Source organism: Homo sapiens, chromosome 9 (genome assembly GCF_000001405.40).
Source record: "Homo sapiens chromosome 9, GRCh38.p14 Primary Assembly".
Classification (NCBI taxonomy): Eukaryota; Metazoa; Chordata; class Mammalia; order Primates; family Hominidae; genus Homo; species Homo sapiens.
In genome coordinates, this window is record NC_000009.12 from 65,704,324 (window position 1) to 65,728,792 (window position 24,469).

The following is a 24,469-nucleotide window of genomic DNA, read 5'->3' on the forward strand; positions in this document are numbered from 1 at the left end:
ATTATAGAACAATAAACATGCAGTGATTGATTTTTCTTACTTCAAGTGGATGAGTGAGCAAGTGACTAAAATCTTCTGTGAATTCTTCAGTGTATGGTTCTTGCCAATGCATCTGAGAATCTAGGGACTTTCTGAAATAGTACTTCCTTGCTATGAGGACTGAAGTTGGATTAGAATCCGTTTCAATGAAGATCAGATGTCCTGAGTAGAATTCTTACTATTGGGTCCTGAATCTTACATTAAATATTCTCTCAAATTCCTTGAGGCATAGCAACTTGAGCTTACCAGTTTAGAAACTGGAGATTTGGGCTGGGTGCGGTGGCTCATGCCTGTAATCCCAGCACTTTGGGAGGCCAAGGTGGGCGGATCACGAGGTCAGGAGATGGAGACCATCCTGGCTAACACTGTGAAACCCATCTCTACTAAAAATACAAAAAATTAGCTGAGCCTGGTGGTGGGCGCCTGTAGTCCCAGCTACTCAGGAGGCTGAGGCAGGAGAATGGCGTGAACCCGGGAGGCGGAGCTTGCAGTGAGCTGAGATCGCACCACTGCACTCCAGCCTGGGTGACAGAGCGAGACTCTGTCTCAAAAAAAAAAAAAAAACAAACAAAAAAACCGGAGATTTGGTTAACAAAATAGTCAAAGTCACTCTTATAGAAGTTTTGTTTTATTTTTTGTTTTTTTAAATTTTTTTACCATTTTGTAGCTGACAAGTACTGACAATAAACTGCTATAAGCATGTGTAGAAAAAGGCTCACCTTGAGTAGTTAAGATTAAGGAAAAGGAATAGTGTGTAGCATCGTCTTAGTGGTAAGACTTAAGTTGATTTAGTAGCAAATGGAAGTACTAGTGAACCACATAGATTTCAGAAGTAGGAGTAAAAGGTTAGAAGATGTGTCATTTTAATCTTCTCTAGACTTTTTCTTAATTTTTAGAAATGTAAGTGGACTGAACAGAGGAAAACCAAAACACAGCTGGTCAATAATAAGTTAAATTAATTTGACAAACTGCCTGCTATGCATTTCATAGCATTTTAAGGACTATATAAGCAATGGATAAGGCGAAAACTCTGCCTTTAAGGAGATCAGTCATTGGGGGGAAACAGAAGCAAACAAACAAAAAGGCAACATAATAGATATTAATATTAATACAAGAATTTTAAAAGCACAGAGTTCTATAATAATAGGAAAATAGAGGGAATGATTGCTCAACTTTTCTTGAAAAAGAGTCAGGAAAATATTGACCGAGAAGGCAGTCATTGACCTGAGTCTTAAAGAATGAATAAGGTTTTTACAGATGGAGTAGGGTAGGGATAACTTTCCAGGTATAAGGAAGATTTTGTATTCCAGGGACCTTTGAATATTTTAGAATGGCTAGAAAACTTGGTATTATGTAGCACAGAAAAAGTGGTATGACTGAAGAGATAGAGAACTTACCACAAAGGGTCTTGAATGCCATGATACATAGTTTGGATTTTCTTCTGTAGGGAGCAAGGAGTTAGTGAAGGATTTTAAAAGCAAAATGACTCTTGGGAGGTAGATTCAATGTGAGGCTAATCTCCGAGGTACAGGAAATACAGGAAGGAGGAGCAACAGGTCGGGTAGTGGTGGAAGCAGGTTTGGAAAATGTGATTAGTTTTGTAAACGTTTTTGAGTTTGAATTGCCACTGGGGAAGGCTTTTGGAAATTTATTTCCAGAGTTGAAGACTGAGCTATCATTGCAGTTTGCTCAGCTATTTACTGAGCTATCTACTGTCAATTTGGATAGTATCTACAGTTTGCATTGTAGATACTGGATACTTGGATTGGCTGGTGCACCCTGTTTGTGAGACTCACTGGAGTTTGAAGAGATGACCACTGGAAAATATCCCTAAGCAGTAGCTGCAATTCCACCCCCACCTTGGAGAGCCAAAACCCTCTTCGTTTTCACTCTCCTGTCCTTGGTCTTAAGCTACTTAAAGCAGCCTTTAGACATAGGGAAAAATTGAAAGCCTCTCTTTTAAGAAAAACATTAGGTACTTCTGGAATAGAGAGTTCAAGAAATTAGGAGAAAAATGAACTTTTGAAGCTTTTTCTTTCCCTTTTTTGTTTACTTCATTCTCTTACTCAGTTTTAAAATGCTGGTAATGGTCTTTTTTTTCTTTTTTTTTTTTTTCTTGGCGATTTTAATGCTTTGGAAAAGATCTCATGCTTTTATCTCCAAAGGAGGAAATTAATTTGATGCCATGGAAATTAGTTTTCTAGTCGTATGCCTTGAATGAGTGAAGAATTTCTTTTTCATGGTGGTACTAAATTTGGGGAAAGCTATAGAAACTTTCATCTGGAAGCTTACACTTTTCCTCTTTTTTGAAAATTTGGTGAGAGACTTGGATATTTTATTATTTTCTGTAAAAGAGTGTAATTTGTTGTACAGGTCTAATATTGATCCTTTTTTGGAAGTATGGAAAGAATCTGAGTATAAAGCAGAATTACCTCTGGATGGCATGTATTCTCAAGGACACTGTCATAGTGAAACAGTTTATTTAGAAGCTTGTGTTTCCAAACTGTTGAATTTGATATTCACAAAATTGGCATGTGTAAACTTTATTAAACTTTAAGCTATTTCCTAAGATGAAGATGACAAACTTGGAGGGAAACTTCATTCATTTGGTTTATTTTTATTTTTATTTTTATTTATCTTTTTGAGACAGAATCTCACTCTGGTTTGAGACAGAATCTCACTGTGTCCCCCAAGTTGGAGTGCGGTGGTGCGATCTCGGCTCACTGAAACCACTGCCTCCTGGGTTCAAGCGATTCTCCTGCTTCACCCTCCGAGTAGCTGGGATTACAGGTGTGCACCACCACACCCAGCTAATTTTTGTATTTTTAGTAGAGACGGTTTCGCCACATTGGCTAGGTTGGTGTCAAACTCCTGGCCTCAAAGTGATCCGCCCACCTTGGCCTCCCAAAGTGGAGCCCCCGTGCCCCTTGTTTGTGACCTGTCAATATAAATATGCTCAGTAGCGGGGGGAGGGGTGGGGGGTGAAAAAGGAAATATGTTTAATATTAAGACTTTGGCCTTTTAGTGTAAACTGATATTCAAAAATTTCTTCATAGAACATTTGCTTCTTTGCTTGATCATTTTTCTAATTCTGTACATCTAAAATGCCCAGAATTTGAGTTGCTGTTATAGTCTACTAACATAGAACTTTGGAGTAATAAGATGGGAATTTGTCTCTCTTTTGCCAAGACAAGTATTCGTAATCTAACACAGTATTGTTGCCACGAGTACGAGTATGTGATAGACTGTTGAGAATAAAGAAAGCAGGCACAGTTGGTCAGTCCTAAGATAAAGGAGATGTTTTTTCTTATATGTTTGTGCATTAAAGAAAAAAAAATCTTGAATCTGACCAATGATGTTTTTTTTCCTTGTAAGAAAATTTAACAAATGTTTGGCAAGCTTCTGGAATCTAAATTTGAAATTATACATTTGTCATTTTCTTTAAATATTTCTTCACCTTAGCTTTGATTATGAGAAATCACTGTCCTCTGCTGTTCTTTTTTTTTTTTTTTCTTTTGAGGCGGAGTCTCACTCTGTGCCAGGCTGGAGTGCAGTGGTGCAATCTCGGCTCACTGCAACCTCCACTTCCTGGGTTCAAATGATTCTCCTGCCGCAGCCTCCCGAGTAGCTGGGACTACAGGTGCATGCCACCACACCCAGCTAATTTTTGTATTTTTGGTAGAGACAGGGTTTCACCACGTTGTCCATGGCCAGGATGGTCTTGATCTTGACCTTGTGATCCGCCCGCCTCGGCCTCCCAAAGTGCTGGGATTGCAGGCATGAGCCACCGTGCCCGGCCTGTCCTCTGTGGTTTTCTGGGCTTATGTTAAAATTATAACTCAATCACCAGTCTTTATAAATTTGCTTTTTTATATTTAAACCAAACCTAATGCTAATTGTGATATGTTATTTATTCTCACCTGATTTGAATCATTGGATTCAATTAAATGAGTTTAATTATCATTAAATAATTCTAAGAGAAATAATGTCTATTCGGATGGTGGGAATTTTCTTTCTACATGCAGCCCCATTCTGAATGAATGAAATCAAATCATGTGAAGATCAGGGTCCTAGAGTAACCTAATATTTTGTACATTGGTTATTTGACTCCTCATTTTTATATTAAATGTTATATCAAGGGAGGGGGTATAAAAGAAATACAAAAATTGCAGAGGTATCTGGAATGTACCTATTTGTTAATTCTATTTGTCATTTCTTTTGTTTCATCTTTTGAGTAATAAGCTGCTTGGAAAAGTTTCTGTTCTTTAGCTGATTTTTTAGCTATAAAAATGTATTTGAAAAGCTCATAAATTTCAGGATTGAAAAGATAATTGGAAGTTTAAAAAAAACCTAATTCATTGAAGTAATAACCAAATAATTTTCAATCTTGATTCAACTGTGATTCAAATCTTACACCATTTGCCCACTTCTATGAATTTTATGTATAAAATTTTTTAAGAGTCAGAGTTTTTTTTTCTTGATTAATTGGATGTATTTCACAGAATTTCCAACTGCTCACGTTAGTTTTCTTCCTTTTAGAGTTGATCTCTCTAATGTATTAGATCTTCATGCCTTTGATAGTCTCTCTGGAATAAGGTATGTTTTGTATAATTTGGTTACTTTTATTGTTATGTACCTTTTTTCCCCATAGTTAACAGGAATGATTTGCACAATTGCATCCATGATTTAAGCTTCCTGCCATTCCTTTGGCTTACAAGACCATTCTTAATGAGGTATATTCTTGGAAGTTTTACTAATTGGTTGTTTGGAAATCATATTGCATTTTCCTGTAGAAATTATAGTGTAAATGATAGTTAACTTTAGAGGCTAATCGTTAACACTTCTACACCAAACACTATGTCTAATACTCTTTCTATGAGAAAATGCATGAAATACATGGAAAATTTTAGCTTAGCGTTTTCACACAAATAACTCTCTTCACTTTATTTTTTTATTTTTTATTTTTTCTTGAGTTTTTTTTTAAATTTATTTATTTATTATTATTATACTTTAAGGTTTAGGGTACATGTGCACAATGTGCAGGTTAGTTACATATGTATACATGTGCCATGCTGGTGGGCTGCACCCACTAACTCGTCATCTAGCATTAGTTATATCTCCCAATGCTATCCCTCCCCCCTCCCCCCAACCCACAACAGTCCCCAGAGTGTGATGTTCCCCTTCCTGTGTCCATGTGTTCTCATTGTTCAATTCCCACCTATGAGTGAGAATATGCGGTGTTTGGTTTTTTGTTCTTGCGATAGTTTACTGAGAATGATGATTTCCAATTTCATCCATGTCCCTACAAAGGACATGAACTCATCCTTTTTTATGGCTGCATAGTATTCCATGGTGTATATGTGCCACATTTTCTTAATCCAGTCTATCATTGTTGGACATTTGGGTTGGTTCCAAGTCTTTGCTATTGTGAATAATGCCGCAATAAACATACGTGTGCATGTGTCTTTATAGCAGCATGATTTATAGTCCTTTAGGTTATATACCCAGTAATGGGATGGCTGGGTCAAATGGTATTTCTAGTTCTAGATCCCTGAGGAATCACCACACTGACTTCCACAATGGTTGAACTAGTTTACAGTCCCGCCAACAGTGTAAAAGTGTTCCTATTTCTCCACATCCTCTCCAGCACGTGTTGTTTCCTGACTTTTTAATGATTGCCATTCTAACTGGTGTGAGATAGTATCTCATTGTGGTTTTGATGTGCATTTCTCTGATGGCCAGTGATGGTGAGCATTTTTTCATGTGTTTTTTGGCTGCATAAATGTCTTCTTTTGAGAAGTGTCTGTTCATGTCCTTCACCCACTTTTTGATGGGGTTGTTTGGTTTTTTCTTGTAAATTTGTTTGAGTTCATTGTAGATTCTGGATATTAGCCCTTTGTCAGATGAGTAGGTTGCAAAAATTTTCTCCCATTTTGTAGGTTGCCTGTTCACTCTGATGGTAGTTTCTTTTGCTGTGCAGAAGCTGTTTAGTTTAATTAGATCCCATCTGTCAATTTTGGCTTTTGTTGCCATTGCTTTTGGTGTTTTAGACATGAAGTCCTTGCCCATGCCTATGTCCTGAATGGTAATGCCTAGGTTTTCTTCTAGGGTTTTTATGGTTTTAGGTCAAACGTTTAAGTCTTTAATCCATCTTGAATTGATTTTTGTATAAGGTGTAAGGAAGGGATCCGGTTTCAGCTTTCTACATACGGCTAGCCAGTTTTCCCAGAACCATTTATTAAATACGGAATCCTTTCCCCACTGCTTGTTTTTCTCAGGTTTGTCAAAGATCAGATAGTTGTAGATATGCGGCGTTATTTCTGAGGGCTCTGTTCTGTTCCATTGATCTATATCTCTGTTTTGGTACCAGTACCATGCTGTTTTGGTTACTGTAGCCTTGTAGTATAGTTTGAAGTCAGGTAGTGTGATGCCTCCAGCTTTGTTCTTTTGGCTTAGGATTGACTTGGCGATGCGGGCTCTTTTTTGGTTCCATATGAACTTTAAAGTAGTTTTTTCCAATTGTGTGAAGAAAGTCATTGGTAGCTTGATGGGGATGGCATTGAATCTGTAAATTACCTTGGGTAGTATGGCCATTTTCACGATATTGATTCTTCCTACCCATGAGCATGGAATGTTCTTCCATTTGTTTGTATCCTCTTTTATTTCCTTGAGAAGTGGTTTGTAGTTCTCCTTGAAGAGGTACTTCACATCCCTAGTAAGTTGGATTCCTAGGTATTTTATTCTCTTTGAAGCAATTGTGAATGGGAGTTCACTCATGATTTGGCTCTCTTTGTCTGTTGTTGGTGTATAAGAATGCTTGTGATTTTTGTACATTGATTTTGTATCCTGAGACTTTGCTGAAGTTGCTTATCAGCTTAAGGAGATTTTGGGATGAGATGATGGGGTTTTCTAGATATACAATCATGTCATCTGCAAACAGGGACAATTTGACTTCCTCTTTTCCTAATTGAATACCCTTTATTTCCTTCTCCTGCCTAATTGCCCTGGCCAGAACTTCCAACACTATGTTGAATAGGAGTGGTGAGAGAGGACATCCCTGTCTTGTGCCAGTTTTCAAAGGGAATGCTTCCAGTTTTTGCCCATTTAGTATGATATTGGCTGTGGGTTTGTCATAGATAGCTCTTATTATTTTGAAATACGTCCCATCAATACCTAATTTATTGAGAGTTTTTAGCATGACGGGTTGTTGAATTTTGTCAAAGGCCTTTTCTGCATCTATTGAGATAATCATGTGGTTTTTGTCTTTGGTTCTGTTTATATGCTGGATTACATGTATTGATTTGCATATATTGAACCAGCCTTGCATCCCAGGGATGAAGCCCACTTGATCATGGTGGATAAGCTTTTTGATGTGCTGCTGGATTCGGTTTGCCAGTATTTTATTGAGGATTTTTGCATCAATGTTCATCAAGGATATTGGTCTAAAATTCTCTTTTTTGGTTGTGTCTCTGCCCGGCTTTGGTATCAGGATGATGCTGGCCTCATCAAATGAGTTAGGGAGGACTCCCTCTTTTTCTATTGATTGGAATAGTTTCAGAAGGAATGGTACCAGTTCCTCCTTGTACCTCTGGTAGAATTCGGCTGTGAATCTATCTGGTCCTGGACTCTTTTTGGTTGGTAAGCTATTGATTATTGCCACAATTTCAGATCCTGTTATTGGTCTATTCAGAGATTCAACTTCTTCCTGGTTTAGTCTTTGGAGGGTGTATGTGTCAAGGAATTTATCCATTTCTTCTAGATTTTCTAGTTTATTTGCGTAGAGGTGTTTTTAGTATTCTCTGATGGTAGTTTGTATTTCTGTGGGATCGGTGGTGATATCCCCTTTATCATTTTTTATTGCGTCTATTTGATTCTTCTCTCTTTTTTTCTTTATTAGTCTTGCTAGCGGTCTATCAATTTTGTTGATCCTTTCAAAAAACCAGCTCCTGGATTCATTAATTTTTTGAAGGGTTTTTTGTGTCTCTATTTCCTTCAGTTCTGCTCTGATTTTAGTTATTTCTTGCCTTCTGCTAGCTTTTGAATGTGTTTGCTCTTGCTTTTCTAGTTCTTTTAATTGTGATGTTAGGGTGTCAATTTTGGATCTTTCCTGCTTTCTCTTGTGGGCATTTAGTGCTATAAATTTCCCTCTACACACTGCTTTGAATGTGTCCCAGAGATTCTGGTATGTTGTGTCTTTGTTCTCGTTGGTTTCAAAGAACATCTTTATTTCTGCCTTCATTTCGTTATGTACCCAGTAGTCATTCAGGAGCAGGTTGTTCAGTTTCCATGTAGTTGAGCGGTTTTGAGTGAGATTCTTAATCCTGAGTTCTAGTTTGATTGTACTGTGGTCTGAGAGATAGTTTGTTATAATTTCTGTTCTTTTACATTTGCTGAGGAGAGCTTTACTTCCAAGTATGTGGTCAATTTTGGAATAGGTGTGGTGTGGTGCTGAAAAAAATGTATATTCTGTTGATTTGGGGTGGAGAGTTCTGTAGATGTCTATTAGGTCTGCTTGGTGCAGAGCTGAGTTCAATTCCTGGGTATCCTTGTTGACTTTCTGTCTCATTGATCTGTCTAATGTTGACAGTGGGGTGTTAAAGTCTCCCATTATTATTGTGTGGGAGTCTAAGTCTCTTTGTAGGTCACTCAGGACTTGCTTTATGAATCTGGGTGCTCCTGTATTGGGTGCATATATATTTAGGATAGTTAGCTCTTCTTGTTGAATTGATCCCTTTACCATTATGTAATGGCCTTCTTTGTCTCTTTTGATCTTTGTTGGTTGAAAGTCTGTTTTATCAGAGACTAGGATTGCAACCCCTGCCTTTTTTTGTTTTCCATTTGCTTGGTAGATTTTCCTCCATCCCTTTATTTTGAGCCTATGTGTGTCTCTGCACGTGAGATGGGTTTCCTGAATACAGCACACTGATGGGTCTTGACTCTTTATCCAATTTGCCAGTCTGTGTCTTTTAATTGGAGCATTTAGTCCATTTACATTTAAAGTTAATATCGTTATGTGTGAATTTGATCCTGTCATTATGATGTTAGCTGGTTATTTTGCTCGTTAGTTGATGCAGTTTCTTCCTAGTCTCGATGGTCTTTACATTTTGGCATGATTTTGCAGCGGCTGGTACCAGTTATTCCTTTCCATGTTTAGCGCTTCCTTCAGGAGCTCTTTTAGGGCAAGCCTGGTGGTGACAAAATCTCTCAGCATTTGCTTGTCTGTAAAGTATTTTATTTCTCCTTCACTTATGAAGCTTAGTTTGGCTGGATATGAAATTCTGGGTTGAAAATTCTTTTCTTTAAGAATGTTGAATATTGGCCCCCACTCTCTTCTGGCTTGTAGAGTTTCTGCCAAGAGATCCGCTGTTAGTCTGATGGGCTTCCCTTTGAGGGTAACCCGACCTTTCTCTCTGGCTGCCCTTAACATTTTTCCCTTCATTTCAACTTTGGTGAATCTGACAATTATGTGTCTTGGAGTTGCTCTTCTCGAGGAGTATCTTTGTGGCATTCTCTGTATTTCCTGAATCTGAATGTTGGCCTGCCTTGCTAGATTGGGGAAGTTCTCCTGGATGATATCCTGCAGAGTGTTTTCCAACTTGGTTCCATTCTCCCCGTCACTTTCAGGTACACCAATCAGACGTAGATTTGGTCTTTTCACATAGTCCCATATTTCTTGGAGGCTTTGTTTGTTTCTTTTTATTCTTTTTTCTCTAAACTTCCCTTCTTGCTTCATTTCATTCATTTCATCTTCCATCGCTGATACCCTTTCTTCCAGTTGATCGCATCGGCTCCTGAGGCTTCTGCATTCTTCACGTAGTTCTCGAGCCTTGGTTTTCAGCTCCATCAGCTCCTTTAAGCACTTCTCTGTATTGGTTATTCTAGTTATACATTCTTCAAAATTTTTTCCAAAGTTTTCAACTTCTTTGCCTTTGGTTTGAATGTCCTCCCGTAGCTTGGAGTAATTTGATCGTCTGAAGCCTTCTTTTCTCAGCTCGTCAAAGTCATTCTCCGTCCAGCTTTGTTCTGTTGTTGGTGAGGAACTGCGTTTCTTTGGAGGAGGAGAGGCGCTGCGTTCCTTTGGAGGAGGAGAGGCGCTCTGCTTTTTAGAGTTTCCAGGTTTTCTGCTCTGTTTTTTCCCCATCTTTGCAGTTTTCATCTACTTTTGGTCTTTGATGATGGTGATGTACAGATGGGTTTTTGGTGTGGATGTCCTTTCTGTTTGTTAGTTTTCCTTCTAACAGACAGGACCTTCAGCTGCAGGTCTGTTGGAGTACCCGGCCGTGTGAGGTGTCAGCCTGCCTCTGCTAGGGGGTGCCTCCCAGTTACCTCCCAGGGGGTGACCTCCCAGGGGGTCAGGGGTCAGGGACCCACTTGAGGAGGCAGTCTGCCCGTTCTCAGATCTCCAGCTGTGTGCTGGGAGAACCACTGCTCTCTTCAAAGCTGTCAGACAGGGACACTTAAGTCTGCGGAGGTTACTGCTGTCTTTTTGTGTGTCTGTGCCCTGCCCCCAGAGGTGGAGCCTACAGAGGCAGGCAGGCTTCCTTGAGCTGTGGTGGGCTCCACCCAGTTGGAGCTTCCTGGCTGCTTTGTTTACCTAAGCAAGCCTGGGCAATGGCGGGCGCCCCTCCCCCAGCCTCGCTGCCGCCTTGCAGTTTGATCTCAGACTGCTGTGCTAGCAATCAGCGAGACTCCGTGGGCGTGGGACTCTCCGAGCCAGGTGTGGGACACAATCTCCTGGTGCGCCGTTTTTCAAGCCCGTCGGAAAAGCGCAGTATTCTGGTGGGAGTGACCCAATCTTCCAGGTGCCGTCTGTCACCCCTTTCTTTGACTAGGAAAGGGAACTCCCTGACCCCCGTGCTTCCCAAGTGAGACAATGCCTCGCCCTGCTTCGGCTCGCGGATGGAGCATGCACCCACTGACCTGCGCCCACTGTCTGGCACTCCCTAGTGAGATGAACCCGGTACCTCAGATGGAAATGGAGAAATCGCCTGTCTTCTGCGTCTCTCACGCTGGGAGCTGTAGACCGGAGCTGTTCCTATTCGGCCATCTTGGCTCCTCTCTCCTCTCTTCACTTTAATAATGGATTAGTTTTCTGCCTTCTGCTGTGGGGAATCTTTTTGGTAAGGGAGAGAAGAAAGATTAGTTATTCTTGTGCATCGGTATCTTTTTCTTTTTTTATTGTAGTAAGAACATCTAACATGAGATCTACCCTCTTAACAATTTTTTAAGTGTACAATACAGTATTGCTAACTATAGGCATGAGGATGTGCAGCAGATCTCTGGAACGTTTCACTCTTTATAACTGAAGCTTTATACCCCTTGAATCGCAGTTTCCCATTTCCCAGTCTTCATAGCCCCTGGCATCCACCATTCTACACTCTTTCTATGGGGTTGACTATTTTAATTACCTGACACAAGTGGAATCATGCATTATTTGTCTTTCTGTGACTGGTTTATTTCATGTAGCATAAAGTCATCAAGGTTCATCCATGTTTTTGCATATGGCAAGGTTTCCTTTTTAAGTCTGAATAATATTCCATTTTCTACATATACCACATTTACTTTATCCCTTTTTCTGTTAGTGGACATTTAACTTGTTCTCACAGCTTGGCTATTGCAAATAATGCTGCAATGAATATCTCATAAGTCTCGTATATGTCCATACAAGATCATGAAAATGGACATGTCTCTGGGTATTTTGAATTGGTGGGACAATTTTGCTTAAGGGTAGGCATAGTGGGTGGCTCTACATTTGAGAGTTCTAATTCCCATTCCTATATATATTTCTTTTCTTTTTATTTATTTATTTTTTTGAGATGGGGTTCTCTGTCACTCAGGCTGGAGTGCAGTGGCACAAACATGGCTTACTGCAGTCTCAACCTCCTGGGCTCAAGTGATACTCCCATCTCAGCCTCCCAAGAAGCTGGGACCACAGGCATGTGTCACCATGCCTGACTAATTTTTTTTTAATTTTCTGTAAGCATGGGGTCTTGCTATGTTGCCTAGGCTGGTCTCAAACTCCTGGGCTCAAGTGATCCTCATGCCTCAGCCTCCCAAAGTGCTGGGATTACATGTGTAGGCCACCACACCCAGCCTTATATATGTATTTCTAATTTTGCCTTAGCCATGCCCTTAAAAACTAATTATACTTTCAACTAGTTTTTTTTTCCACCTTCAGTCTGTGGTATTGTTCACATTTTGAAAACAATACCTACAGTAACCTGTGAGGTAGGACATGATAGTGTTTTATTGGACCCCTTTTACTTTATGAATTGGAAAAATTAAATTTGCATGTAGTTTGTAAAAAAAAAAATAAAGAAAAAAGAAATTGATTGAGATTATTTCAGCAGCCAGAAGTGTGGGACAGGCAGGGCAGTTATTCCTCCTTCTCAGTTTGGAAACTGAAGCTCAGAGAGTAAACTTGTCAGTGACACAGTTATTCAAGAAGTTGTCTTCAGTTGAGAGATATGTTTTTCACCTGTAGCTTCTGGTATTGGAGCAGTACCTTTTTAGACTAAACAAATTACAGTTAAAATTATAAAGGTATTTTTGGAGTACCTGGAAAAAATCAGCATTTTGCTTTTCTAGTTCCATTTAGTAGGAAGGCAGGAAAGTTTGGTATACCTGAATTACATGTGAGTTATTTCTATTTTTCTAAAAATTCTTATAAATTGTGTAAGGTAAAAATGACTACTTCTTGTTTTATGGTAAATATAGTTATATCCTTTCAAGCCACTGCTGTACAAAGTTGTGAAATCTCCCTGAGCCTTTTTCCCTCATGTCAGCTTCAGGTATCCAGTATCACTTATGCTTGATAATGATTGTATGAAAATCATTCAGAATTATACTATGTTTTTTCATATAAAGCTTTTGTTTTACTAATTTTGAAATAACTGTTCCTCCATTAAGCGAATACAGCCCTAAGCATAAATTTGGTTTGTTCATTTAAAAATGGTCTTTTTTTCCCATCTTATTTCTGGCTTTACTAGGGAGATAGATTGGCTGAGGTTGTCACCTAATTCTGGGAGGTTAAGAGCCTTTGTCTTTTGCTACCCATTTCTGAAATAACCAGAAGTCTAGCCCATCCTAACTTTCCTCTCGATGATCCTTTTCTTCTTTTTACTTCAAGGTTCCAGCCCTTCATTTGACTATCAGTGCTGTTCACTAGTTAGCCATGATCCCTTTCATCCTCCGTGTCTGGATTAGAACTGTATTTTTAATTTGATGCTGTGGGCAGTTTTGATAGTTACAGATCCTGTGATACATTTAAATGTGTTTACAAGGGGAACAAATGAAACAATGCTGCATGAAATTTGCCTTTCATTTTTTTTTTCTTCCCCTTGGAGACAGGGTCTGGGTCTATTGCCCAGGCTAGAGTGCAGTGGTGCGATGTCAGCTCCCTATAGCCTCTGTGTCCTGGGCTTAAGCCATCTTCCCACCTCAGACTCATGAGTAGCTGGGACTATAGGCACGCACTACCATGCCTGGCTAATTTTTTATTTTGGTAGAAGATGAGGTTTTGCCATGTTGCTGAAGCTGATCTTAAACTCCTGGGCTTAAGTGATCTGCCCACCTCAGCCTCCCAAAGTAATGGGATTATAGGCATGAGCCACCACACTTGGCCTTTTCTTTTTTTTATATTTATTTAATTATTTTATTTTATTGAGACAGAGTCTCACTCTGACACCTGGGCTGGAATGCAGTGGCTATCATGGCTCTCTGCAGTCGTGAACTCCTGGACTCAAGTGATCCTCCCATCTCAGCCTCCTGAGTAGCTGGGACTACAGGCTTGCGCCCATGCCTGGCTAATTTTTTTATTTTTACTTTTTTGTAGTGACAGGCTCTCGCTACGTTGCTCAGGCTCATCTTGAACTCCTGGCCTCAAGTGATTCTCCTACTTGGCCTCTCAAAGTGCTGGGATTATAAGCCTGAGCCACTGAACCCAGCAAAATTTGCCTTTCTTAAACTAATTTATCTCTGTTGGGTCCAAGAGCTTACAAGTTGGTTGTCATTTAATATGTTAAACACTAGAATATTTTTTAGTTGAAATTTTATTTTTTCCCTTTACATATTGTATCCTTTAGTGCTTTATTTCACTAATAAGAATTATAGTATGCAATCATTTCCCACCTCTATATTCAGTATATCAATTTTTGTTTTTCCTTTCTACTTCTGTCTTTTGCTATAATTTGCTGTAATACAGGTACTTTCATCAAGGCATCCAGTTCTTTATATCATTCTATATTTTTACTTGGGAGAAATAGAAATGTTGCTAATTCCATCTTACTGACAATACCTAAATTATTGTTTGTTATAGAACATAATGATTTAAATATACAAAACACTAAACTGTTTGAGATTTTTTACATTTTATGTGTGCAGAATTTACATTTTATGTGTGCAGAGACAAAAATTGTTATAAGATTACAAGTTAATGTGCAAGATGATTTCCGATTCATGAGTTTCAGGTTTTGATAGCATATCCTTATCCACTAGATTAGTCTTTTAAAAATGTGTATGATAGGGAAAAAATCGAGGGCATGAAATTCTGAGACTTATGGGAACTAAACTTAAATGTTCGTTGTTAGATTTTTTTTTTTTTTTTTTTTTGCTGCATATGAAGTTTTAGGCAGTCATTGTCCAACAACATTAAATACTGAACATATGGGAAAAGCATATGATTTTTCAAAATGTTTTTCTAAAGTAATCTCATTCTACATACACTTAAGAGCAGTTATAATGCTTTAGTGACACTTGAAGTAGCTTTTTAATGTGATCTCACCACTATAGGGAAGGCCGTTGCATGACTTTTTTGTGTGTGCTTAACTGCTAAACAGGAGAATCTTTTCCTGAGCAACCAGTTGGGAAGGATTTAATTTGACATTCTCCCTACTAGGACCCCCCCAAAGAGACTCATTCCCTCCAATAGTTCCTACAAGTTCTTTCTCTTTCCTAAACTTGCTGTTACTAATTTACCCCTCACTGTTTTCAAGGCAAAGCCTCTGCAAGGTTTTAAGTCCTTTCCCCCTCCCGTCCTGTCCCCATCAGTGTTGAAATGTATGCTACAGTTATTATGGTTGTAATTTGTTATGCCATGTTGATCTTCTTGTGCTTTTCATATCAGAACAATGCATTTTTAACATTCTGACTTTCTTTTTCTCTCAATTGGTAACTGACTATATAGAAAATTTATATTTATGGATACTATTTCTTTTTTAATAAGTTCAAGGGAAAACATTGATAAAGGAAAATTTATCCTTTCAACTTTCTTTAGGTGCCAGCATTATTTTCATATTAGGAAGCAGGAGAAAGTTAAGGAACTCTAAGCAATACTAGAATGGTTATATATATATTTAAGTTTGTATTAAACCTGTTGGAATGGTAAAGAAATTTACTGACATATTTAACCATACAAAATAGTGTTGCTAAAAGACTAGTTTTTCTCTTTATTCTGTGCATATGTATATATATGAATGTGTGTTTTTTTTAAGAAATTTTAAAAAAACTTAATCTGCCAGCTTTTCTCTATTGGAATTTGCAAACAACTTGTAAAATTGGAATTACAGAATATTAGAATAGTCAGTTATGGAAAGTCACTTCATTATCCTTGTGTCACTAAACGTATAAAGTTAAATCAGAAGTGTATTAATCTCTGAATTTCTAATCAGTTGTTTTTAGTTTGCAGAAAAAACTTCAGCATGTGCCAGGAACACAACCTCACCTTGATCAGGTAAAGAAAAAAAATCTAAATCTAAAATTCCTAATCAATGTTTTTAAAGGACCTCTTTAACTAGATAGGCTATGTTTAGGACTATTTTATTATAAACTTTTTCTAAAATGGTATTTTTGAACTGTGTTGATAATTTTTGGAATCTTAAATGCTTTTGACATAGTCTAATTCTATTTCTTAACACATAATAGGAATTCATCAAACCAGATTTGTTTTAGAATCTGAGGAAATCATGCTTTCTAGCCTTTCCATTCTGTAGCTTGCTTAGCATATTGGTTAGTTCTGATAGGGATTACTCCTTAAAAGCAGCCTGGGGGTTCTATAGGCAGTCTGTTTTTAAGTATGTTGAATTGTTTAAGGAAAGGTCTGATATAAGCATGGCTTATTTAAATAAAAATTGACTTGGAGTTTCACCTTCAGGTAGCACTATAAATTTGAACTCCTTAAGATGTTTTTCATGCTCTAAAATTCTAATCCCTAAGGTAAATATCTAAGATGCTAGGAACAATTTAAATATAATTTTACTGTACCTGCGTTTCTGTTAAGCAGATCATAGATCGTAGAGCTTTAGGATAACTTCTTTGTTCCTCTTAAAACCCTGAGGGGTGGAGTGGGGGATGTGTAAGTGAGCAGTGTGCCTAATCTTCCTTCCTCTCTCTCAAGTGATCACTCAATTTTTGAATTGCTATTGGTTGTAATAGGGCCAAGATAACAGCTACTTGCATTTGTATTCATTTTGGTTCATATTTATGAGCAGGTTTGCTACTATGTTTGTGGCACCTTTCCCTGTGAAACTTTTGTTAATAGGATATTCCTCTTCACTTATCTTTAAAATGAATAAATGAGAGAAATACAAGTCCTTGGAGATAGAATTTATGGTAAAAAAAAAAAAAAAAACCCAGTTCTTTATGATAGTCGGTATCTGTCATATAGTTGAACATGAAGCACATTTGAGCTTCTGGGTAAAGAACGTGATGCCAAGAATCATAGGGATGAAAAGATGAAGAAAACGCAGTACTCACTTACCATGAACATTTGGAGCAGCCAGTGTCTCCATCCATAGAATCTCGAATGAACCCCTATTGTGGCAGTTATGATGCCTTGTAGTTTGGTTGAAATGCTTTTGCCTTGCATTAGTCTATAAATTCCTTAAATATAAAATCTTTATTGCTCAGTACAGGGCTTGGTGGATACTCAGTGAATATTTGTTAAAAGAATGAAAAGCTGTGTTTCTCAAATGGGGTATAAATCAGAATCACATGTGGAGCTTTTTTAAAAAAAATTCGATAACTCAGTAGTTCTCACCCCTCAGTCTCCAGGATTGGGACTTGGGTATGTGTATATTAATGTATATTTTTAACATTTTATTATGGAAGATTTCAAAGATATAAAAGAATAAACAGAATAGTAAAGTAAACTCCTTGTATGCATCACCCAGTTTAAATGGCATCAACATTTAGCTGATTTTATTTCACCTATCCTCCCAACATTTCTTTTGCCTGGAGTATTTAAAAAAAACAAATGTATTTTAATAGGAAATTTCAAACGTACATAAGAGTAGAATAGTATAATGAGCCTTTATGTACCTATTGCCCTTGGTGTAGTGTATTAAAGCAAATTCCAGACATTATGTCACTTTACTACTAAATAGGGCATATCTATATTTTTGTAGCCTCTGTAGGAGATTCTGATGCACTGTCCTGCTTTAGATAATATAAACATAGGGAAAAATAGTATCACAGCCAAAGGGCTATGGGATTCAGAGGCATGAACAATTTCATTTGGTTTAGTGGATCTGAGGTGTAAGGGAGGAAATTTATCTTTTCCTCGCCTATCACTAGATTCATGGCTGAGGTCTCTCTAACAGAAGACCAACTATCAAGAGAAATTTCAACATAGAAATTTATTTAGTAAGTTTTACTTGACACAGGAGCCTTCATAAAACATACCTGTGTATGTTTTCTGTTAGTTATGATATGGAAGAGGATAGTAATGGAGAAGCATAATTAGATAAAACAGTATGATCTAATAATAAACTGGGAAGAACTTAGCAAGGCCTGTTTGCTCAGATTTTTCTCTGTGACCCTTCATATTCAGACTTAAGGATGTTCTTTTCCTCTGTGTATAGAGAGGGCACCTCTTAAATGAGGGTCTTATGACCTGCATCAGCGGAAGGTCAGAAAATCTTTCCTAGGTTTTATGACCTGCTTCAGGAGAGAAGGTGAGAGTGACCTTCCTGATTCTGCCATTTTCTCAAATATTGAGTTGCCATATTTTGGGATAGCATGTCCTGAACCCCATCAAATGCTTCATGAGGATAGTTTTTCATTTGTTTCTTTTGGTTTTGGTTTATTTATTTGCATACAGTAAAGCATGCAAATGTGTAATTTTAGTGTACAATTCAATGTTTGGGTTTTGTTTTTGTTTTTGTTTTTTTGGTTTTTTTTGAGACGGAGTCTCACTCCGGCTAGAGTCTCACCCAGGCTGGAGTGCAGTGGTGTGACCTTGGCTCACTGCAACTTCCTCCTTCTAGATTCAAGTGATTCTCATGCCTCAGCCTCCTGAGTAGCTGGGATTACAGGCATGTACCACCATGCCTAGCTAATTTTTTTTTTTTTTTTTTTTTTTTTTTTTTTTTTTTAGTAGAGATGGGGTTTCACCATGTTGGCCAAGCTGGTCTCAAACTCCTGACTTCAGGTGATCCACCTGCTTCGGCCTCCCAAAGTGCTGGGATTACAGGCGTGAGCCACTGTGCCCGGCCTCAATGTATTTTTACATATATTTGTACCTATATATCTGTCTATATGCACATTCAAACACATATCCTTCTAACTCCCACTCAGGTCAAGATACAAAAGATATCCAAAATTGTAAAGAGTTCCTTTTTGCCCCTTCCTAGTCAAAGAAGGGGTAAGTGCTATTCTGACTTACTTAACAAAAAATAACCTTGAACTGGTAGGATTTTTTTTGACGGTAGGATTTTTTTTGACGGGAAGAAGTAAGGAAAAGAGCAATACGGATGTTTAAAAATGAGAAGGTGAGAATCTTATAGATGAGTAGGTCTCTGGTACAGAAGTCTTAGTGGAGAGTTGGTACTGGAATCCTGGTCTAAGGTATTAGGTTTTAATTTGCTAGACAAAGAGAACTCAAGCAGTGCTGTCTAGGAGTGTTATGTAAGCTAGATTGGACTTTAGAGTCAGGAGACCATGCGGGAAGATACTGTGTGATAAGGGCCTGAAACATGTTGGTTACAGTGAGACTAGAAATGGGATAAATCCAGAGCTGTTTCACCAGTAGACTTGCCTGAATATCCTGTCTGACTGATTATGGATCAGAAAGAAAAGAAGGGGTGATGGGAAACAAGCCTAGATTGACTAGAGAAACCTAGAAATAGAAAAATCGGGAAGGCAAAGTGATTTGGATGATAATGCCATATATTCAGTTGTCCCTGGTGGCCAGATATTATAGTATAGATATTATACAGGCAAAGAAGAACAGAGGGATAGAGTGTGAAGGTACAGATTTTGAGTTTAAGCACATTAGGGGGCTTAGTGTTCTGGATGAAGAAAACATATAAAAGTTATTGTATGTTAGGTATTGTTTGCAAAAGAGTAGAAAATGGAGAAATAACCCAGTGGGTTAAAGAAGAAACAGACTAAATAAACAAACCTGAGTAAGTTGTTCCTAAATTTTATTTTAGAGGCAATTCCTCATTTTGCTTTAGTTTTCTCAATTATTGCCTCACTTTTCTGTTTCTTTCTCTGTCAGCATACATGGAAAAAGGAGTTAATTTTAGATTCAAAACAAAAACTGGAAAAAAAAAGTCTGAAATGGGTAATACCTAGGACCTAGTATATATGTGTTATTAAGGCTCTATCCCTGAATTTTTAATGCAGTTATCTATTTTTCATGGATTCTTTGTTTATTCCCCATAAGGAACACCTGGGTTTGGAGAATGGGAAGGTAGATGAGAAAACCCAAGTGACAAAGAATGTTTAGTTTATTATTAGAACCAACTATGAGTTGTGACCCTTATCTTCTGCACTGGGAATTACAGATTTTTTCAGGGTTTTTCTAACGTGAAAAGAGTTTATTGGTGTAGGAAAACATCTGGTTCCAAAATATAGATCATCCTTCTTGAGCCCCATGATGCGTTATCTTAATTTTTAAAGCCTTTTGTGTCTCATACTGGAGTTTATTGTACCCCTTAAAAATATTAAGTCACATATTTAACCTGATAAAAGCAAAAATCATTATAAAAATCTTTAGGCTGGGTGTGGTGGCTTATGCTTGTAATCCTAGCGCTTTGACAGGCCAAGGTGGGTGGATTGCTTAAAACCCAGGAGTTGTAGACCAGCCTGGGCAACATGGTGAAACCCCATTTCTGCAAAAAATACAAAAAATTAGCCAGGTATGGTGGCATGTACCTGTAATCCCAGCTACTCGAGAGGCTGAAGTGGGAGGATTGCTTTAGCTTGGGAGTTCAAAACTGCAGTAAGCCATGATTGTGCCACTCTACTCCAGCCTGGGCAACAGAGTGAGACCCCATCTCAAAAAAATTTATTCAGTTAAAATCTTTAACAATAAAGCAATTTTGAGTTGTATTTTGCGACATTCTCAATATAGTTTTCCAACTTGCATTAAAATACATTTTAAACATTTTTGAAGACTAAATTAATTTTTTTAACTGACATTTATGTTTCATTTGACAACCTTTTGCTGTATATTTTATGTGGACTTTTAGGTATTGTAGTGATTCCTTTAATGAAGAAATAAAATAATTGTCATTTAAAAATGCATATTATTATTACCTTATGCTATAAAAATAGTTTTAAAATAGAGTATGTTTATTAAGATTTAAAAATAAGTATAGTCATGCACTGCATAACAGCGTTTTAGTCAGACTGCATAAGATTACGATGGAGCTGAAAAATTACTGTCACACAAATACTTACCATTGTGTTATTATTTCCATACACTGTTCAGTACAGTAACATATATGCTGTACAGGTTTGTAGCCTAGGAGCAACAGGCTATACAGCATAGCTTAGGTGTGTAGTAGGTTATACCATCTAGGTTTGTGTAAGTGCACTATCATGTTTGTATAACAACAAAATTGCCCAACAGCTCATTTCTCTTTATGTATCCATGACTGTATATTTTTTATTGTGGTAAAAAACACTTAACGTGAGACCTACCTTCTTCCACAAATTTTTAAGGGTACAATATAGTATTGTTAACTGTATGTACATTGTTATATAGCAGATCTCTAGAACTTTTCATCTTGCATGACTAAAATTATACCCATTGAACAGCACCTCCCAATTTTCGTCTCCCTCTGACCCCTGGTAACCACCATTTTACTTTCTGATTTGATGAGTTTTACTGTTTTAGACTCCTGATATTAGTGGATTCATGCAATATTTGTCCTTCTGTGACTGGCTTATTTCACTTAGTGTAATGTCCTCAAGATTCATCCATGTTGTAGTATATGACAGGATTTTTTTAAGGATACATAATATTTGGTTGTATGTATATTACCACATTTATTTTATCCATTCAACTGTCCTGGACATTTAGGTGGTTGTTAGTGTCTTGACTGCTGTGACAAAATAAGTACTTTTAAAAGTCTCACATTTGCAAGTTCAATTTGAACCTTTTTTTAGTCTGCTTGCACTTCTCTTATCAAGCAAGAAAGCACTTTTCTGCTTTTTCTATTACTAGTAACAGTGGAGATTAAATATCTCATGTTTTTGGGCGTTCTAGAGCCCAACACATCACCTGTTCCTTTCCATACTACCACAACTGACACTCTCTGGAAAGTGCCACCTCCCTGCAGCAGGCCAACCAGCACAAAAATAGTACATTAAACCAGCAAAGCTAAGAACCGTCAAAGAGTACATTTCACCCTCCTACCACCTCCACTGGAACAGGTGCTGGTATCCACAGCTGAGAGACCCACAGATGGTTCACATCTCCCGACTCTGTGCAGACTACCCCCCAGTACCAGCCTGGAGTCTGGTAGACTTGCTGGGTGGCTAGATCCAGAAGAGAGATAGCAATCACTACAGCTCAGCTCTCAGGAAGCCACATCCATAGGAAAAGGGAGAGAGTACTACATCAAGGGAACACCCCGTAGGACGAAAGAATCTGAACAACAACCTTCAGCCCTAGACCTTCTCTCTGACAGAGCCTACCCAAATGAGAAGGAACCAGAAAACCGACCCTGGTAATATGACAAAACAAGGTTCTTTAACGCCCCCCAAAAAATCACACTAGCTCACCAGCAATGGATCCAAACTAAGAAGAAATCCCTGACTTACTTGAAAAAGAATTCACTAGGTTGGTTATTAAGCTAAGGCATCAGAGAAAGGTGAAGCCCAATGTAAGGATATTAAAAAAAAAAAGATACAAGAAGTAAGGGGAGAAATATTCAATGAACTAGATAGCATAAATAAAAAACAATCAAAACTTTAGGAAATAATGGACATACTTATAGAAATATAAAATGCTCTGGAAAGTCTTAGCAATAGAATTGAACAAGTAGAAGAAGGAAATTCAGAGCCTGAAGACAAGGTCTTCTAATTAACCGAATCCAATAAAGACAAAGAAAAAAGAATAAGAAAATATGAAGAAAGCCTTCAAGAAATCTGGAATTATGTTAAATGACCAAACCTAAGAATAACCAGCATTCCTGAGGAAGAAGAGAAATCTAAACGTTTGTTAAACATATTTGGGGGAATAATTGAGGAAAACTTCCCCAGCTTTGCTAGAGACCTAGATCCAAATACAAGAAGCACAAAGAACATCTGGGAAATTCATCACAAAAAGATCGTCATCTAGGCACATTGTCGTCAGGTTATCTGAAGTTAAGATGAAAGAAAGAGCTGTGAAACAAAAGCACCAGGTAACCTATAAAGGAAAACTTACCAGATTAACAGCACATTTCTCAGCAGAAACCCTGCAAGCCAGAAGGGATTGGAACCCTATCTTCAGCCTCCTCAAACAAAACAATTATCAGCTGAGAATTTTGTATTCAGCAAAACTAAGCTTCATATATGAAGGCAAGATACAGCTTTTTCAGACAAACAGCGAATTCACCACTACCAAGCCACCAGTGCAAGAATGCTAAAAGGAACTCTAAATCTTGAAACAAATCCTGGAAACATATCAAAACAGAACCTCTTTAAAGCATAAATATCACAGGACCTATAAAACAAAAGTACAATTAGAAAAACAACAAAAACCAAAAAAAACAAGGTATACAGGCAACAAATAGCATGATGAATAGAGTGGTACCTCACATCTCAATACTAACATTGAATATAAATGGCCTAAATGCTCCACTTAAAAGATACAGAATTGCAGAATAGGTAAGAATTCACCAACCAACTATCTGTCGCCTTCAAGAGTCTCACCTAACACATAAGGACTCACATAAACTTAAGGTAAAGGGATGGACCAAGACATTTCATGCAAACGGACACCAAATGTGAGCAGGAGTTGCCATTCTTATATTAGACAAAACAAACTTTAAAGAAATAGCAGTTTAAAAAGACAAAGAGGGACATTATATAATGAAAAAAAGGCCTTGTCCAACAGGAAAGTATCACAATCCTAAACATATGCACCTAACACTGGAGCTCCCAAATTTATAAAAGAATTACTAATAGACCTAAAAAATTAGACAGACAGCAACACAATAATAGTGAGGGATTTTAATACTCCACTGACAGCACTGCACAGGTCATCAAGACAGAAAGTCAACAAAGAAACAGTGGATTTAAACTATACCTTGGAACAAATGGAGTTAAAAGATATATACAGAATATTCCATCCAACAACCACAGAATATACGTTCTGTTCAACAGCACATGAACTTTCTGTAAGATAGACCATATGATAGCCAACAAAATGAGCCTCAATAAATTTTAAGAAAATTAAAATTATATCAAGCACTCTCTCAGACCACAGTGGAATAAAACTGGAAATCAACTCCAAAAGGAACCTTCAAAACCATGCAGATACATGGAATAACCTGCTCCTGAATGATCATTGGGTCAAAGATGAAATCAAGATGGAAATGTAAAAATTCCTCAAACTGAATGACAATAATGACACAACCTATCAACCTCTGGGATACAGCAAAGGTGGTGCTAAGAGGAAAGTTCATAGCCCTAAATGCCTCCATCAAAAAGTTGGAAAGAGCACAGACAATCTAAGGTCACATCTCAAAGAACTAGAGAAACAAGAACAAACCCAGCAGAAGAAAGAAGATCAGAGCGGAATTAAATGAAATTGAAACAAAACAACAAAAAAATCCAAAAGATAAATGAAACGAAAAGCTGGTTCTTTGAAAAGATAAATAAAATTGATAGACCGTTAGCAAGATTAGCCAAGAAAAGAGAGAAAATCCAAATAAGCTCAAGAAATGAAACGGGAGATATTACAACTGACACCACAGAAATACAAAAGATATTCAAGGCTACTATGAACACCTTTACATGCATAAACTAGAAAACCTAAAATAGATGGATAAATTCCTGGACAGATACAACCCTCCTAGCTTAAATCAGGAAGAATTACCCTGAACAGACCAGTAACAAGCAGGGAGATTGAAATGGTAATTAAAAAATTACCAACAAAAAAATGTCCAGGACTAGACGGATTCACAACAGAATTCCACCAGATATTCAAAGA

General features: G+C 37.7%; 1 protein-coding gene across 21 annotated transcripts in view, besides 1 other annotated feature; it reads left to right on the plus strand.

Moving 5' to 3' along the window:
* The window catches only part of ZNG1E (Zn regulated GTPase metalloprotein activator 1E), an 81,063-nt gene that overhangs the window by 51,345 nt on the left and 5,249 nt on the right, over positions 1-24,469 (plus strand). For 11 of the 21 annotated variants that reach the window (XM_047422963.1, XM_017014456.2, XM_024447453.2 and 8 more), the window contains 2 exons: positions 4,579-4,635; positions 15,718-15,769. In XM_047422963.1, the coding sequence (XP_047278919.1) occupies positions 4,579-4,635; positions 15,718-15,769 (109 nt within the window). Of the gene's footprint in view, positions 1-7; positions 266-3,816; positions 4,636-15,717; positions 15,770-24,469 lie in introns of those variants that run through there. The other 10 variants (NM_001363751.1, XM_047422961.1, NM_001024916.4 and 7 more) reach the window with 5 other exon arrangements.
* Positions 10,178-10,787: an enhancer, noted in NCBI's record as "NANOG-H3K27ac-H3K4me1 hESC enhancer chr9:70450935-70451544 (GRCh37/hg19 assembly coordinates)". NCBI's record gives its function as "activates a minimal SCP1, AML or CMV promoter by ChIP-STARR-seq in primed H9 embryonic stem cells {active_cell/tissue: H9 hESC(primed)}" and the evidence as "EXISTENCE:reporter gene assay evidence [ECO:0000049][PMID:30033119]".